General features: G+C 50.4%; 1 protein-coding gene and 1 pseudogene across 3 annotated transcripts in view; one reads left to right on the forward strand and one right to left on the reverse strand.

Annotated features, from left to right (window-relative positions):
• SPDYE3 (speedy/RINGO cell cycle regulator family member E3) lies at window positions 1-14,495 on the forward strand. 2 transcript variants are annotated; one of them, NM_001004351.5, is made up of 11 exons: window positions 1-290; window positions 1,273-1,491; window positions 2,659-2,877; window positions 4,049-4,267; window positions 5,439-5,657; window positions 6,831-7,049; window positions 8,084-8,142; window positions 9,369-9,454; window positions 11,864-12,107; window positions 12,230-12,334; window positions 13,190-14,495. In NM_001004351.5, exons 1-10 carry the CDS (start codon window positions 185-187, stop codon window positions 12,287-12,289), a joined length of 1,650 nt encoding a protein of 549 aa, NP_001004351.3. In that variant the 5' UTR covers window positions 1-184; the 3' UTR covers window positions 12,290-12,334; window positions 13,190-14,495. The 2 variants fall into 2 exon arrangements, with proteins under 2 accessions (NP_001004351.3, XP_047276360.1); XM_047420404.1 differs by having other exon boundaries at window positions 12,230-13,195.
• PMS2P1 (PMS1 homolog 2, mismatch repair system component pseudogene 1) overlaps window positions 12,939-15,637 on the reverse strand; it is a 15,668-nt pseudogene continuing 12,969 nt past the window's right edge. The window contains exon 7 of the transcript NR_003613.1: window positions 12,939-13,383. The product of NR_003613.1 is annotated as a PMS1 homolog 2, mismatch repair system component pseudogene 1 (transcript). The remainder of the gene's footprint in view (window positions 13,384-15,637) is intronic.

Raw genomic sequence — 15,637 nt, forward strand, 5'->3', positions numbered from 1 at the left:
CTCTGTCGGCGCCTGGCAGTTCAGGTGAACAACAGTAACTTCTCAGAGCTGTTCTCCACTCCTGACTTCTCCCAGCCTCGAGAATTGATAACACACTCTTCTGGATCCCAGCAGTGTCCAGAAGAAGACCAAGGACAGAACAGAGACTAGCTTCGGTGAGATTGGACAGATTTTGGGAAAGATCATGACGAGCCATCAACCGCAGCCCCAGGAAGAGCAGAGCCCCCAGCGGAGCACCTCAGGGTACCCCCTCCAGGAGGTGGTGGATGATGAAGTGTCGGGACCATCAGGTGAGGGGACTGGAGGAAGAAGAGGTGGCATAGGATTGACTAAGACGAAGGAAGGGGGCCAGGTGCGGTAGCTCACCCCTGTAACACCAACACTTTGGGAGGCCGAGGCGGGCAGATCACCTGAGGTCAGCAGTTCAAGACCAGCCTGGCCAACATGGTGAAACCCCATCTCTACTAAAAGTACAAAAATTAGCCAGGCGGTAGTGGTGTGTGCCTATAATCCCAGCTACTCGGGAGGCTGAGACAGGAGAATCGCTTGAGCCTGGGAGGAAGAGGGTGCAGTGAGCCGAGATCGTGCTACTGCACTCCAGTCTGGGTGAGAGAGTGAGACGCTGTCTCAAAAAAAAAAAAAAAAAAAGAAGAAGAAAAAAAAGAAGGGTCAGAGGTCAGGAAGGAGAACCTGGGGAGGGTGTGTGGGAAGAATGGAGAAATTCAGGCTGGGTGCAGTGGCTCACACCTGTAATCCCAGCACTTTGGGAAGCCAAGGCAGGCGGATCACGTGAGGCCAAGAGTTTGAGACCAGCCTGGCCAACATGGCGAAACCCCGTCTCTACTAAAAGTACAAAATTGAGCTGGGCATTATGGCAGGCACCTGTAATCCCAGCTACCTGAGAGGCTGAGGCAGGAGAATAACTGGAATCCGGGAGATGGATGTTGCAGTGAGCTGAGATTGTACCACTACACTCCAGCCTGGGTGACAAAGCAAGATTCTGTCTCGAAACAAAAAAAAAAAAAGAGGGCCTCAGAGAGCCAGGGACCAGGGAACGATATGACGCAGTGTTCTGAGGACAGAGAGAGGGAAGAATGGGGAGGGGAAGGAGTGGCACATGGGGTTGAGCAGAGGAGAAAGTCAGAAAGGTGGCTTGGAGAAGCCAGCAGTCTGAGAGGCTGGGGAGGATGGAGAATGGTTTGGGGTTTGGGGTCGGGGTCTAACGTGATCAGTTGCAGAAGCATTACACGGTGGCCTGGTTTCTTTACTCAGCCCCTGGGGTAGATCCCAGCCCCCCACGTAGGTCCCTTGGCTGCAAAAGGAAGAGGGAGTGTTTGGATGAATCTGATGATGAGCCAGAGAAGGAGCTCGCCCCTGAGCCTGAGGAGACCTGGGTGGCGGAGACGCTGTGTGGCCTCAAGATGAAGGCGAAGCGACGGCGAGTGTCGCTCGTGCTCCCTGAGTACTACGAGGCCTTCAACAGGCTGCTTGGTAGGAGGACACCCCAGAGAGCACCTCCAATCCTGTTCTTTCTAAAAAGAGGAAACTTCCAATAACCACACTTTTCCAATGGGAAAAATATGCCCCAGTGGGTGAGCTCTCCATGCGGGAGGACTCTGAAGTGATCACTCATGAGGGACACTTAGGAGACAACAGAGGATTAGGTAGACTTGATAAAGGTCGGTGCTTGGGATAAGAAAGCTTGGTTTTGGGCCAGGCGCTGTGGCTCCCGCCTGAGATCCCAGCACGTTGGGAGGCTGAGGCAAGAGGATTGCTTGAACTCAGGACTTCGAGGCTGCAGTGAGCTATGACTGCACCACTGCACTCCAGCCTGAGTGACAGAGCAAAACTCTGCGTCAAAAGAAAAACCAAGGCTGGGCACAGTAGCTCATGCCTGTAGTTCCAGCTACTCGGGAGGCTGAGACAGGAGAATCGCTTGAGCCTGGGAGGAAGAGGGTGCAGTGAGCCGAGATCGTGCTACTGCACTCCAGTCTGGGTGAGAGAGTGAGACGCTGTCTCAAAAAAAAAAAAAAAAAAGAAGAAAAAAAAGAAGGGTCAGAGGTCAGGAAGGAGAACCTGGGGAGGGTGTGTGGGAAGAATGGAGAAATTCAGGCTGGGTGCAGTGGCTCACACCTGTAATCCCAGCACTTTGGGAAGCCAAGGCAGGTGGATCACGTGAGGCCAGGAGTTTGAGACCAGCCTGGCCAACATGGTGAAACCCCCGTCTCTACTAAAAGTACAAAATTGAGCTGGGCATTATGGCAGGCACCTGTAATCCCAGCTACCTGAGAGGCTGAGGCAGGAGAATAACTGGAATCCGGGAGATAGATGTTGCAGTCAGCTGAGATTGCACCACTACACTCCAGCCTGGGTGACAAAGCAAGATTCTGTCTCGAAACAGAAAAAAAAAAGAGGGCCTCAGAGAGCCAGGGACCAGGGAACGATATGACGCAGTGTTCTGAGGACAGAGAGAGGGAAGAATGGGGAGGGGAAGGAGTGGCACATGGGGTTGAGCAGAGGAGAAAGTCAGAAAGGTGGCTTGGAGAAGCCAGCAGTCTGAGAGGCTGGGGAGGATGGAGAGTGGTTTGGGGTTTGGGGTCGGGGTCTAACGTGATCAGTTGCAGAAGCATTACACGGTGGCCTGGTTTCTTTACTCAGCCCCTGGGGTAGATCCCAGCCCCCCACGTAGGTCCCTTGGCTGCAAAAGGAAGAGGGAGTGTTTGGATGAATCTGATGATGAGCCAGAGAAGGAGCTCGCCCCTGAGCCTGAGGAGACCTGGGTGGCGGAGACGCTGTGTGGCCTCAAGATGAAGGCGAAGCGACGGCGAGTGTCGCTCGTGCTCCCTGAGTACTACGAGGCCTTCAACAGGCTGCTTGGTAGGAGGACACCCCAGAGAGCACCTCCAATCCTGTTCTTTCTAAAAAGAGGAAACTTCCAATAACCACACTTTTCCAATGGGAAAAATATGCCCCAGTGGGTGAGCTCTCCATGCGGGAGGACTCTGAAGTGATCACTCATGAGGGACACTTAGGAGACAACAGAGGATTAGGTAGACTTGATAAAGGTCGGTGCTTGGGATAAGAAAGCTTGGTTTTGGGCCAGGCGCTGTGGCTCCCGCCTGAGATCCCAGCACGTTGGGAGGCTGAGGCAAGAGGATTGCTTGAACTCAGGACTTTGAGGCTGCAGTGAGCTATGACTGCACCACTGCACTCCAGCCTGGGTGACAGAGCAAAACTCTGCGTCAAAAGAAAAACCAAGGCTGGGCACAGTAGCTCATGCCTGTAGTTCCAGCTACTCGGGAGGCTGAGACAGGAGAATCGCTTGAGCCTGGGAGGAAGAGGGTGCAGTGAGCCGAGATCGTGCTACTGCACTCCAGTCTGGGTGAGAGAGTGAGACGCTGTCTCAAAAAAAAAAAAAAAAAAAGAAGAAGAAAAAAAAGAAGGGTCAGAGGTCAGGAAGGAGAACCTGGGGAGGGTGTGTGGGAAGAATGGAGAAATTCAGGCTGGGTGCAGTGGCTCACACCTGTAATCCCAGCACTTTGGGAAGCCAAGGCAGGCGGATCACGTGAGGCCAGGAGTTTGAGACCAGCCTGGCCAACATGGTGAAACCCCCGTCTCTACTAAAAGTACAAAATTGAGCTGGGCATTATGGCAGGCACCTGTAATCCCAGCTACCTGAGAGGCTGAGGCAGGAGAATAACTGGAATCCGGGAGATAGATGTTGCAGTCAGCTGAGATTGCACCACTACACTCCAGCCTGGGTGACAAAGCAAGATTCTGTCTCGAAACAAAAAAAAAAAAGAGGGCCTCAGAGAGCCAGGGACCAGGGAAGGATATGACGCAGTGTTCTGAGGACAGAGAGAGGGAAGAATGGGGAGGGGAAGGAGTGGCACATGGGGTTGAGCAGAGGAGAAAGTCAGAAAGGTGGCTTGGAGAAGCCAGCAGTCTGAGAGGCTGGGGAGGATGGAGAATGGTTTGGGGTTTGGGGTCGGGGTCTAACGTGATCAGTTGCAGAAGCATTACACGGTGGCCTGGTTTCTTTACTCAGCCCCTGGGGTAGATCCCAGCCCCCCACGTAGGTCCCTTGGCTGCAAAAGGAAGAGGGAGTGTTTGGATGAATCTGATGATGAGCCAGAGAAGGAGCTCGCCCCTGAGCCTGAGGAGACCTGGGTGGCAGAGACGCTGTGTGGCCTCAAGATGAAGGCGAAGCGACGGCGAGTGTCGCTCGTGCTCCCTGAGTACTACGAGGCCTTCAACAGGCTGCTTGGTAGGAGGACACCCCAGAGAGCACCTCCAATCCTGTTCTTTCTAAAAAGAGGAAACTTCCAATAACCACACTTTTCCAATGGGAAAAATATGCCCCAGTGGGTGAGCTCTCCATGCGGGAGGACTCTGAAGTGATCACTCATGAGGGACACTTAGGAGTCAACAGAGGATTAGGTAGACTTGATAAAGGTCGGTGCTTGGGATAAGAAAGCTTGGTTTTGGGCCAGGCGCTGTGGCTCCCGCCTGAGATCCCAGCACGTTGGGAGGCTGAGGCAAGAGGATTGCTTGAACTCAGGACTTTGAGGCTGCAGTGAGCTATGACTGCACCACTGCACTCCAGCCTGGGTGACAGAGCAAAACTCTGCGTCAAAAGAAAAGCCAAGGCTGGGCACAGTAGCTCATGCCTGTAGTTCCAGCTACTCGGGAGGCTGAGACAGGAGAATCGCTTGAGCCTGGGAGGAAGAGGGTGCAGTGAGCCAAGATCGTGCTACTGCACTCCAGTCTGGGTGAGAGAGTGAGACGCTGTCTCAAAAAAAAAAAAAAAAAAAGAAGAAGAGAAAAAAGAAGGGTCAGAGGTCAGGAAGGAGAACCTGGGGAGGGTGTGTGGGAAGAATGGAGAAATTCAGGCTGGGTGCAGTGGCTCACACCTGTAATCCCAGCACTTTGGGAAGCCAAGGCAGGCGGATCACGTGAGGCCAGGAGTTTGAGACCAGCCTGGCCAACATGGTGAAACCCCCGTCTCTACTAAAAGTACAAAATTGAGCTGGGCATTATGGCAGGCACCTGTAATCCCAGCTACCTGAGAGGCTGAGGCAGGAGAATAACTGGAATCCGGGAGATAGATGTTGCAGTCAGCTGAGATTGCACCACTACACTCCAGCCTGGGTGACAAAGCAAGATTCTGTCTCGAAACAAAAAAAAAAAAGAGGGCCTCAGAGAGCCAGGGACCAGGGAACGATATGTCGCAGTGTTCTGAGGACAGAGAGAGGGAAGAATGGGGAGGGGAAGGAGTGGCACATGGGGTTGAGCAGAGGAGAAAGTCAGAAAGGTGGCTTGGAGAAGCCAGCAGTCTGCGAGGCTGGGGAGGATGGAGAGTGGTTTGGGGTTTGGGGTCGGGGTCTAACGTGATCAGTTGCAGAAGCATTACACGGTGGCCTGGTTTCTTTACTCAGCCCCTGGGGTAGATCCCAGCCCCCCACGTAGGTCCCTTGGCTGCAAAAGGAAGAGGGAGTGTTTGGATGAATCTGATGATGAGCCAGAGAAGGAGCTCGCCCCTGAGCCTGAGGAGACCTGGGTGGCGGAGACGCTGTGTGGCCTCAAGATGAAGGCGAAGCGACGGCGAGTGTCGCTCGTGCTCCCTGAGTACTACGAGGCCTTCAACAGGCTGCTTGGTAGGAGGACACCCCAGAGAGCACCTCCAATCCTGTTCTTTCTAAAAAGAGGAAACTTCCAATAACCACACTTTTCCAATGGGAATAATATGCCCCAGTGGGTGAGCTCTCCATGCGGGAGGACTCTGAAGTGATCACTCATGAGGGACACTTAGGAGACAACAGAGGATTAGGTAGACTTGATAAAGGTCGGTGCTTGGGATAAGAAAGCTTGGTTTTGGGCCAGGCGCTGTGGCTCCCGCCTGAGATCCCAGCACGTTGGGAGGCTGAGGCAAGAGGATTGCTTGAACTCAGGACTTTGAGGCTGCAGTGAGCTATGACTGCACCACTGCACTCCAGCCTGGGTGACAGAGCAAAACTCTGCGTCAAAAGAAAAACCAAGGCTGGGCACAGTAGCTCATGCCTGTAGTTCCAGCTACTCGGGAGGCTGAGACAGGAGAATCGCTTGAGCCTGGGAGGAAGAGGGTGCAGTGAGCCGAGATCGTGCTACTGCACTCCAGTCTGGGTGAGAGAGTGAGACGCTGTCTCAAAAAAAAAAAAAAAAAAAAAAGAAGAAGAAAAAAAAGAAGGGTCAGAGGTCAGGAAGGAGAACCTGGGGAGGGTGTGTGGGAAGAATGGAGAAATTCAGGCTGGGTGCAGTGGCTCACACCTGTAATCCCAGCACTTTGGGAAGCCAAGGCAGGCGGATCACGTGAGGCCAGGAGTTTGAGACCAGCCTGGCCAACATGGTGAAACCCCCGTCTCTACTAAAAGTACAAAATTGAGCTGGGCATTATGGCAGGCACCTGTAATCCCAGCTACCTGAGAGGCTGAGGCAGGAGAATAACTGGAATCCGGGAGATAGATGTTGCAGTCAGCTGAGATTGCACCACTACACTCCAGCCTGGGTGACAAAGCAAGATTCTGTCTCGAAACAAAAAAAAAAAGAGGGCCTCAGAGAGCCAGGGACCAGGGAACGATATGACGCAGTGTTCTGAGGACAGAGAGAGGGAAGAATGGGGAGGGGAAGGAGTGGCACATGGGGTTGAGCAGAGGAGAAAGTCAGAAAGGTGGCTTGGAGAAGCCAGCAGTCTGAGAGGCTGGGGAGGATGGAGAGTGGTTTGGGGTTTGGGGTCGGGGTCTAACGTGATCAGTTGCAGAAGCATTACACGGTGGCCTGGTTTCTTTACTCAGCCCCTGGGGTAGATCCCAGCCCCCCGCGTAGGTCCCTTGGCTGCAAAAGGAAGAGGGAGTGTTTGGATGAATCTGATGATGAGCCAGAGAAGGAGCTCGCCCCTGAGCCTGAGGAGACCTGGGTGGCGGAGACGCTGTGTGGCCTCAAGATGAAGGCGAAGCGACGGCGAGTGTCGCTCGTGCTCCCTGAGTACTACGAGGCCTTCAACAGGCTGCTTGGTAGGAGGACACCCCAGAGAGCACCTCCAATCCTGTTCTTTCTAAAAAGAGGAAACTTCCAATAACCACACTTTTCCAATGGGAAAAATATGCCCCAGTGGGTGAGCTCTCCATGCGGGAGGACTCTGAAGTGATCACTCATGAGGGACACTTAGGAGTCAACAGAGGATTAGGTAGACTTGATAAAGGTCGGTGCTTGGGATAAGAAAGCTTGGTTTTGGGCCAGGCGCTGTGGCTCCCGCCTGAGATCCCAGCACGTTGGGAGGCTGAGGCAAGAGAATTGCTTGAACTCAGGACTTTGAGGCTGCAGTGAGCTATGACTGCACCACTGCACTCCAGCCTGGGTGACAGAGCAAAACTCTGCGTCAAAAGAAAAACCAAGGCTGGGCACAGTAGCTCATGCCTGTAGTTCCAGCTACTCGGGAGGCTGAGACAGGAGAATTGCTTAAACCCAGGAGGCAGAGGTTGCAGTGAGCCAAGATCAGGCCAATGCATTCCAGCCTGGCCCACAGAGCAAGACTCTGTCTCAAAATAAATTAATAAATAAATAAAAATAAAAATCAAACAAAGAAAAACAAAATCAAAAATCAAAAAAGTGGTTTCAGCTGTGCCCTCTGAAACTTAATGTTTCTTACTGACTTTTCTAAACCTAAGTGTCTCCATCCATAGTGGGGGATACCAAGGCCATGGTCACACCCTGATGTGTGACTGTCTCATGAGGAAATGATGGGAATTCCTTTATGACTCTGCAGTGGTCCCTCCGTGTCTGCTGGAGGGGGTCCCGGCTGATTCCCAGCTCTACATCCTGTAGATTCTCACACCCAGGGCCTCCTTCGGCCTCTTCTCAGGGGAGTCTCAGAGCAGGAGCCTCTCTCCCTTGCCCAGTGAAAGTCATTCTCCCCTCTCCCATCCACCTCACCCGCGGCCACAATCCTGAGACTTTCCCCCGGGAGGCACACTTCTCCTCACTGCCCTGCTGCTCCCATGGAAACCCTGTCCTGCTTCTCACGCTGACATCTGCTCTCTAATCACAGAGGATCCTGTCATTAAAAGATTCCTGGCCTGGGACAAAGATCTGAGGGTGTCAGACAAGGTAAGGTTGTTCTCTATGTAACTGTGTTCCTGTTCTAACGCACGGCCAGGGGGAGGGCGCAGCTTCCAAACCCACAGTTCTCCCTCCACCACCTCCCACCAGATGCTCCTACAGTTTTTTTTGTTTTTGTTTTTGTTTTTTTTTGTGAGACACAGTCTTGCTCTGTTGCCCAGGCTGGAGGGCAGTGTCTCGATCTTGACTCACTGCAGCTGATGCCTCCTGGGTTCAAGCGATTCTCCTGCCTCAGCCTCCAAGCAGCTGGGATTACAAACGTGAACCACCACGCCTGGCTAATTTTTGTGTTTTTAGTAGAGACGGGGTTTTGCCATGTTGGCCAGATTGGTCCCGAACACCTGACCTCAGGTGATCCACCCGCCTTGGCCTCCCAAAGTGCTGAGATTACAGACGTCAGCACTGTGTCCGACCAGCTCCCATGGTCTTGAGTCTTGGCACCCACACATTTTTTTTTCTGAGACAGAGTCCAGCTCTGCTCCCCAGGATGGAGTACAGTGGCATGATCATAGCTCACTCTAATTCCTGGGCTCAAGCAATCCTCTTTCCTTAGCCTCCTGAGGAGCTGGGACTAGGCACATGCCACCATGCTCAACGAATTTTTGAAATCTTCGTAGAAACAGGGTCTCGCTGTGTTGCCCAGGTTGTTCTCCAACTGTTGGGCTCATGTGATCCTCCTGTCTCCACCTCTCAAAAAGTACTGGGATCACAGGCTTGAGCCGCCACTCCCGGCTATTCTTTGTCTTTTTATGATTTGTCAGCATCTCCCTCAGGACTCTGCTGGTCTCTTGCAGAGTGAATGAGTGGCCCCTGCCTCTCCCATGGGTCCTTTGGGATCTGAGCCCTAGGCCACCGTCTGGCTGCAGTCCTGAAGCTCCTGGGCCCTCTACTCTCAGCTCCTTGGGACAGTTCTCTGCCTGGCACACAAAAGACCCTCCTGACACCAGCCGACCTAGACACACCCCCTCCAAAGATCCCATCGGAGCCCACCATCCTGGGAGCATCACCTAAAACCCTTCCTCCGGCTTCTCGGATTTGCATCCGACCTTCGAATACCCCTCCACCCCGCAATTTCCACATGAGCACAGTCACCCCAATGCTGAGGTCCCTTCTCTGATGGGCAACCCCTCCCCAGACCCCCATTCCACTATCTCCACAATCTTCCTCTCCCAAGATGTGACCTCTCCCTCTCTGTGTTCCTTTCTCTCCATCAGTATCTCCTGGCTATGGTCATAGCGTATTTCAGCCGGGCCGGCCTCCCCTCCTGGCAATACCAACGCATTCATTTCTTCCTGGCTCTGTGAGTGGTTTGCTGCCTCCTATCCATCAATATCCAACGCCCTGGGACAGCGGGGGAAGTGGGATTCCAGCCTTTCATTTATTCTTTCACCTATTTGTCCTCTTTACTCTGTGTACAAAAAAGACAGGATTATAGTATCTTAGACTGTTGTCTCTAAAAAGAAACTCAGGCTGGGCATGGTGGCTCAGGCCTGTAATCCCAGCACTTTGGGAGGCCGAGGCAAGCGGATCACCTGAGGTCAGGAGTTTGAGACCAGCCTGGCCAACATGGCAAACCCCGTCTCTACTAAAAATAGAAAAATCAGTCGGGCATGTTGGTGTGCACCTGTTATCCAAGCTACTTGGGAGGCTGAGGCATGAGAACCCCTTGAACCCAGGAGGTGGAGGTTGCAGTAAGCTAAGGTTGAGCCACTGCACTCCAGCCTGGGCAACAGAGTGAGACTTTTTCTAAAAACAAAAGAGCCAAAAAAAAAAAAACAGGCAAAAAAACCAAACTCCAATGCCAGTGTACAAATAAAAGAGTAAAACAGGCCAGGTGCGGTGGCTCACGCCTGTAATCTCAACAGTTTGGGAGGCCGAGGTGGGCAGATCACAAGGTCAGGAGAGCAAAACCATCCTGGCTAACATGGTGAAACCCTGTCTCCACTTAAAAAAAAAAAAAAATACAAAAAATTAGCCAGGTGTGGTGGCGGGCACCTGTAGTCCCAGCTACTCGGGAGGCTGAGGGAGGAGAATGGCGTGAACCTGGGAGGCGGAGCTTGCAGTGAGCCGAGATTGCACCACTGCACTCCAGCCTGGGCGACAGAATGAGACTCCGTCTCAAAAAAAAAAAAAAAAAAAAAGAACAAAAAACAAAAGGAACCATGAACCGCTCCTAAGGGGAGAACAAAAGGAGCGGAGGAGCGGACATGACACTTCCCCCAGCAAGCAGACGTTTCCGGTTCTTCTCTCTCTCTCCTTCCCACATCAACCGCAAAAGCCACCAACCTCCTCTGGGTTCCCGTGACAGAGGTCACAGTCCAGGTCCCCCTTGCATCACTTGAATCCACTGTCAAATGCTCCCTGCTGGGGTCTCCTGGAGTCTCTCCCCAAGCCAAGGGGCTTCCTAGTGCAGCCTGAACATCTTTCCAAAGCACGACAACCTCACTGCCCACCTGAACAACTTCCTTAGCTGATGTCTTTCTCTATCGAGGCCAGGGTCCACAGTGCCAATTCCACCCTCTCTACAATCTCTACAACCACACTGGCTCGCCATCTTGGTGTTTCCTGGCTTGGCTTCACTGCTCCTTCCAAATGCCCTCCACTTGACTTTGCATTCGTGTTTTCTGTCTGGGTGTCCCACACACATGTGGTTCTGAAGGGAAGCACCCATTCCTTGAAGTCGGTTCACCCCACAGCCTCTGTGATGCCTTCCCTCATCTTCCAACTTCTGCATGCCCGTAGCTCTCCAGTTACATCCTCTTATAATGTGACATTGGGATTAGGTCATCTCCCCTGATTACTCCCAGTCCCATTAGACTAGATGCCTGTAGAAGGCAGGGTCCTGGCAAAATATCAATGTATTCAATTGCTTTTTTTTTTTTTTTGAGACAGACTTGCCCTGTCCCCTAAGCTGGAGTGCAGTGGTGAGATCATAGCTCACCGCAGCCTCCATATCCTGGGCTCAAGCGATCCTCCCACCTCAGCCTCTTGATTAGCTCCGACTACAGGGCTGTGCCACCACACCTGGACAGTTATTTATTTATTTATTTATTTATTTATTTATTTATTTATCAAGACAAGAGTGTTGCTGTGTCTCTCAGGCTGGAATGGAGGGGCCCAATCTTGGCTCACTGCAACCTCCGCCTCCTGGGTTCACACAATTCTTATGCTTCAGCCTCTTGAGTAGCTAGGACTAATGGGTGTGCCACCGCACCAGGCTGATTTTTGTATTTTTAGCATAAATGGGGTTTCTCTGTGTTGGCCAGGCTGGTCTCAAACTCCTGGTCTCAAGCAATCCACCTGCTTCAGCCTTCCAAAGTGCTGGGATTACAGGCATGAGCCACCACGTCTGGCGTATTTTTTATATTTTTAATAGAGACAAGGGTCTTGCTATGTTGCCCAGGCCTGTCTCAAACTCCTGGCCTCAAGTGATCCTCCTGCTTCGGCCTCCCAGTGTGCTGGGATTCCAGGCCTAAGCCACCACTCTTGGTCACCAGTTGGGTTTTTGTCTCCATCCTGAAGGAGTGGGAGATGCCCTTGATCAGGTCTCTGTCCAGCAGAGCCCTCCTGAGGAAGGCGTGGCTCTCTGCAGGGTGGGTGCCAGTCCTGAGCTAGGGACGGTCCCTTACCTTCCTCTCTGGGAAGCTGACCTCAGCCGGAGGTCTCTCCTGGTGGTGCCCCTGAGCAGCAACCTGATTTCTGTCCTCAGCTATCTGGCCAATGACATGGAGGAGGACGACGAGGCCCCCAAACAAAAGATCTTCTACTTCCTGTACGGGAAGACCCACTCTCACATACCCTTGCGCCCTAAGCATTGGTTCCAGTTATGCCGTCCCATGAACCCGAGGGCCAGGAAGAACTGCTCTCAGATAGCCTTGTTCCAGAAGCGTCGGTTCCAGTTCTTCTGTTCCATGCGCTGCAGGGCTTGGGTTTCCCCGGAGGAGTTGGAGGAGGTGGGTGGGGCCTGGGGAGGTGGAGGATGTGGGGAGGAATCGGGTGGGCTGGAGGCTGGACGAGGGGAGAGAGGGGTATCCTGGGGAGTCCCCGTCTTCTCAAAGCGCATTTGTTTTTCCAGATCCAGGCTTATGACCCAGAGCACTGGGTGTGGGCGCGAGATCGCGCCCACCTTTCCTAGAGCTCCAGGGACCGTGGAGGCCTGAGGTCATCGGCCTGAGAGAAGGTACATCTGCATCCTCCGGGGTAAAGGCAGAATATTGGGGTCTATTTCGGAAATCCAAGGAACCCAATTGCTTGATCTGGCTTCAAGCCTCGGCAACGTGGCGAGATATCCCCTCTCCACAAAAATACAAAAATTAGCCAGGCGATGTGGGAGGCATCTCTACTCCCAACTACTCAAGAGGCTGAGGCAGGAGGATCGCTGGAGCCTGGGAGGTCGGGGCTGCAGGGAGCCCTGATCCTGCCACTGCACTCCAGCCGGGGCGACAGAGTGAGACCCTGCCTCAAAAATAATCATAAATACTGAGTTCGGGGAGGTTCTTTATGATTGATGCACTTGAGTTACCGATTTGGGTCGAGGGTTCAGTGAAGCTTTGGTTTACATCTTGTGCAGCTAACCATGTTGAGCACAGAGCATGAGACTTCGTCATGAGGAGGTAGGATTATGGATTAGGCTTCTGGACTCGTGGTTTGTGATGTTGTCACATTAGAAACAGATCTAGCACAGTTACAAGTTTAGATCTGAAGTGACACAAAAGACCCTAGCTGTGATGAAGTCCAAAGCCACATTCTCTGAGGGTGCCCTACTCCCTGGGAAGACCCACCCAAAGTCCTCGCTATGAAGCAGATCACTGGGGCTGACCTTGGGTGTATTAAGTTTTGGAGTCAGGGTCACCAAAGCGTGAGTTTCACAGTTGAACACGATGGTTCAGAAGCAGGGTATAGAATGAAAGGCAGGAGATAAAATCGCACTTCTCAATTGCTCTGAACTCTAGCTAGACTTGACATGGGACGTGAATAACCTTCCTGTCTAGAGAGCTGTCTCCTTGAGGTGTGACATTGTCTCTCTCACTTCCAGAACACCGGACCCAGGGGAGATGTGGATTTTCAGCAGGAACTTTATTCCAGTGCTAATGGCAGACATCAGGAAGGAGGAGAGGAGCCATTTGTGCAGATCATCTAGAAGAACCTGGACCATTCTTGACAGAGCTGAATACAGTGATCACGTTGTCCTCCAAGGAGCAGGGGTGGGGTGGGGTACTTCTAGGAGTCCTTGGAGAAAAGTAAGAAACCAGGAGTGTTTCCAGTTCCACCCTTTCCTGCGGCACCACCTCCCTTTTTATATTGCTGAATGCCAACCTCCCTGGGGCGGAACCTGGAGGTCCTGTTTCTTACGGACTTGGTTGCCACAGTCCAGGAGCATTTGAAGGCACAGTGCAGGGGCTCAGATTGGCACAGAATTCTTTGTGAAATATGAGTGCCACAGACTGTAACAGATAGCTTCATGCACACTATGCATTTTATTGGTTTGTTTGGAAAATGTTGGCCATTGAATCATTAATAGGTTTATTTCAAATAGTTTGGAAATTGTTGTACTTTTGAAAACATGCTGTTCCTGTAGAGTTTTTTGATGAGAGTTATAGTTGTTATATATACATAAAGATAATTTTCTTTTCATTTTTAAGTGAGAATTCTTTTTATCCTAAATCTTTTATTATCTTTAAATTTTTCTCTGTATTATTATATGTGCTCCTGAAGCGAGCACTCTTTTTATCTATGATACTTCCATAATAATCTCTTCTATTTATAGCTATTGGTAGTTCCCCCAAATTCTGGTCATAGAAATTTTTATTTGCTGTTTAGGTTTGTGACTGAATTGTGAGAATTCAGTTGTGATTTTTAACATGTCTTAGATATATATACTAACATGTCTAATATATACTATCTATTTTATTGATTTATTTCGAAAAAGATGGGCAAAGAATTATTTAAATATTATTTTATTTATTTAAATATTTATTAAATATATTTATTTATTTAAATATTTATTAAATATATTTATTTATTTAAATGTTATTACTTTAAATATTATTTTAAATATTTTGGAAATACTGGTATTTTTGAATAGATGCTGTTTCTATAAAGCTGTGTGATGGGTATTATAACTGTTATATACACATAAATATAATTTTGTTTTCCTTTTTAAGAGAGGATTCTTTTTATCCTAAATCTTTTACCTTTCAATCTTTGTATCTATTACTACATATGCTGCTGAAGGGAGCAGACTTTTTATCTATGATACTTAGTTAATGTATATATTACATTTATAGCTATGTGGTAGTTCCCCTAAATTCTTGTAAAAATAAATTTTTATTTGATATTTAGTGTATGTTTGAAATGTGAGAATTCAGATGGAATTTTTTATCTTGTTTTGGCATGTTTGTATGTTACTTTAAAGAGGATGTGTGTTCTAAAGGAGGACATGAGCTGTGTGTTTTCAAGAGAACAGTGCAGTGCATCTCTTGGGGAAACATAATAAAGATGAACTTTTCTCACCTTCACAGTGAGTGTGATCATATTGTGGTCTGGATTGATTATTTGCTGTCAAGTGACATTTTTCCTTAATGGGGTTGTGGTTATTTGAACATATTTATTAGCTCTGGAAGATAATCCTGTGTTGTTTTTTATGTAGAAAAAAACATAAGGCTGGGTGCAGTGCTCACACCTACAATCCCAGCAGTTTTGGAGGTCATGGCGGGAGGATCACTTGAAGCCTATTTTTAATTTTTATTTTTTAAAGAAAAACAATAGAAGAGAAGGCTGATCCCAAGCTACAGGGTTTTTTTGTTTGTTTGTTTGTTTGTTTTGGAGACAGTCTCGCTCTGTCTCCCAGGCTGGAGTGCAGTGGCACAACCTCGGCTCCCTGCAACTTTCACCTCCGCGTTCAAGCAAATTCTCCTGCCTCAGCCTCCCAAGTAGCTGGGACTACAGGCACCCGCCTGTACGTCTGACTAACTTTTGTAAAAATAGTAGAGACAAGGTTTCACCATGTTGGCCAGGCTGGTCTCAAACTCCTGACCTCAAGTGATCCACCCGCCTCAGTCTCCCAAAGTGCTGGGATTATAGGCATGAGCTACTGCGCCCAGACCCCAGGCTAGAGTTTTAAAGCAGGAAATGAGAGAAAGATATTGAGAGAGGAAAACCAGGTGGTAAGAAAACTCTAAAGGTGGCTGGGCGTGGTGGCTCACGCCTGTGATCCCAGCAGGAGTTCGAGACCAGGCAGGAGAATCACCAGCAGAGAATATGTCTCCCCAACCCCTCTCAAAAAAAAAAAAAAAAAAAAGGGCCAGGCGCGGTGGCTCAGGACTGTAATCCCAGCACTTTGGGAGGCTGAGGCGGGCGGATCACAAGGTCAGGAGATCAAGACCATCCTGGCTAATATGGTGAAACCCCATCTCTGCTAAAAATACAAAAAATTAGCTGGGCGCGGTGGCAGGCGCCTATAGTCCCAGCTACTCCGGAGGCT

The sequence above is a fragment of the Homo sapiens genome, chromosome 7, assembly GCF_000001405.40.
Source record: "Homo sapiens chromosome 7, GRCh38.p14 Primary Assembly".
Lineage (NCBI taxonomy): Eukaryota > Metazoa > Chordata > Mammalia > Primates > Hominidae > Homo > Homo sapiens.

Bases quoted from the DNA above. Each gene is read 5' to 3' on its own strand.
- SPDYE3 (NM_001004351.5), top strand. From the start codon at position 185: ATGACGAGCCATCAACCGCAGCCCCAGGAAGAGCAGAGCCCCCAGCGG. The intron at 1,492-2,658 runs GTAGGAGGACAC...TTCTTTACTCAG, and splicing joins GGCCTTCAACAGGCTGCTTG to CCCCTGGGGTAGATCCCAGC. The intron at 8,143-9,368 runs GTAAGGTTGTTC...TCTCTCCATCAG, and splicing joins ATCTGAGGGTGTCAGACAAG to TATCTCCTGGCTATGGTCAT.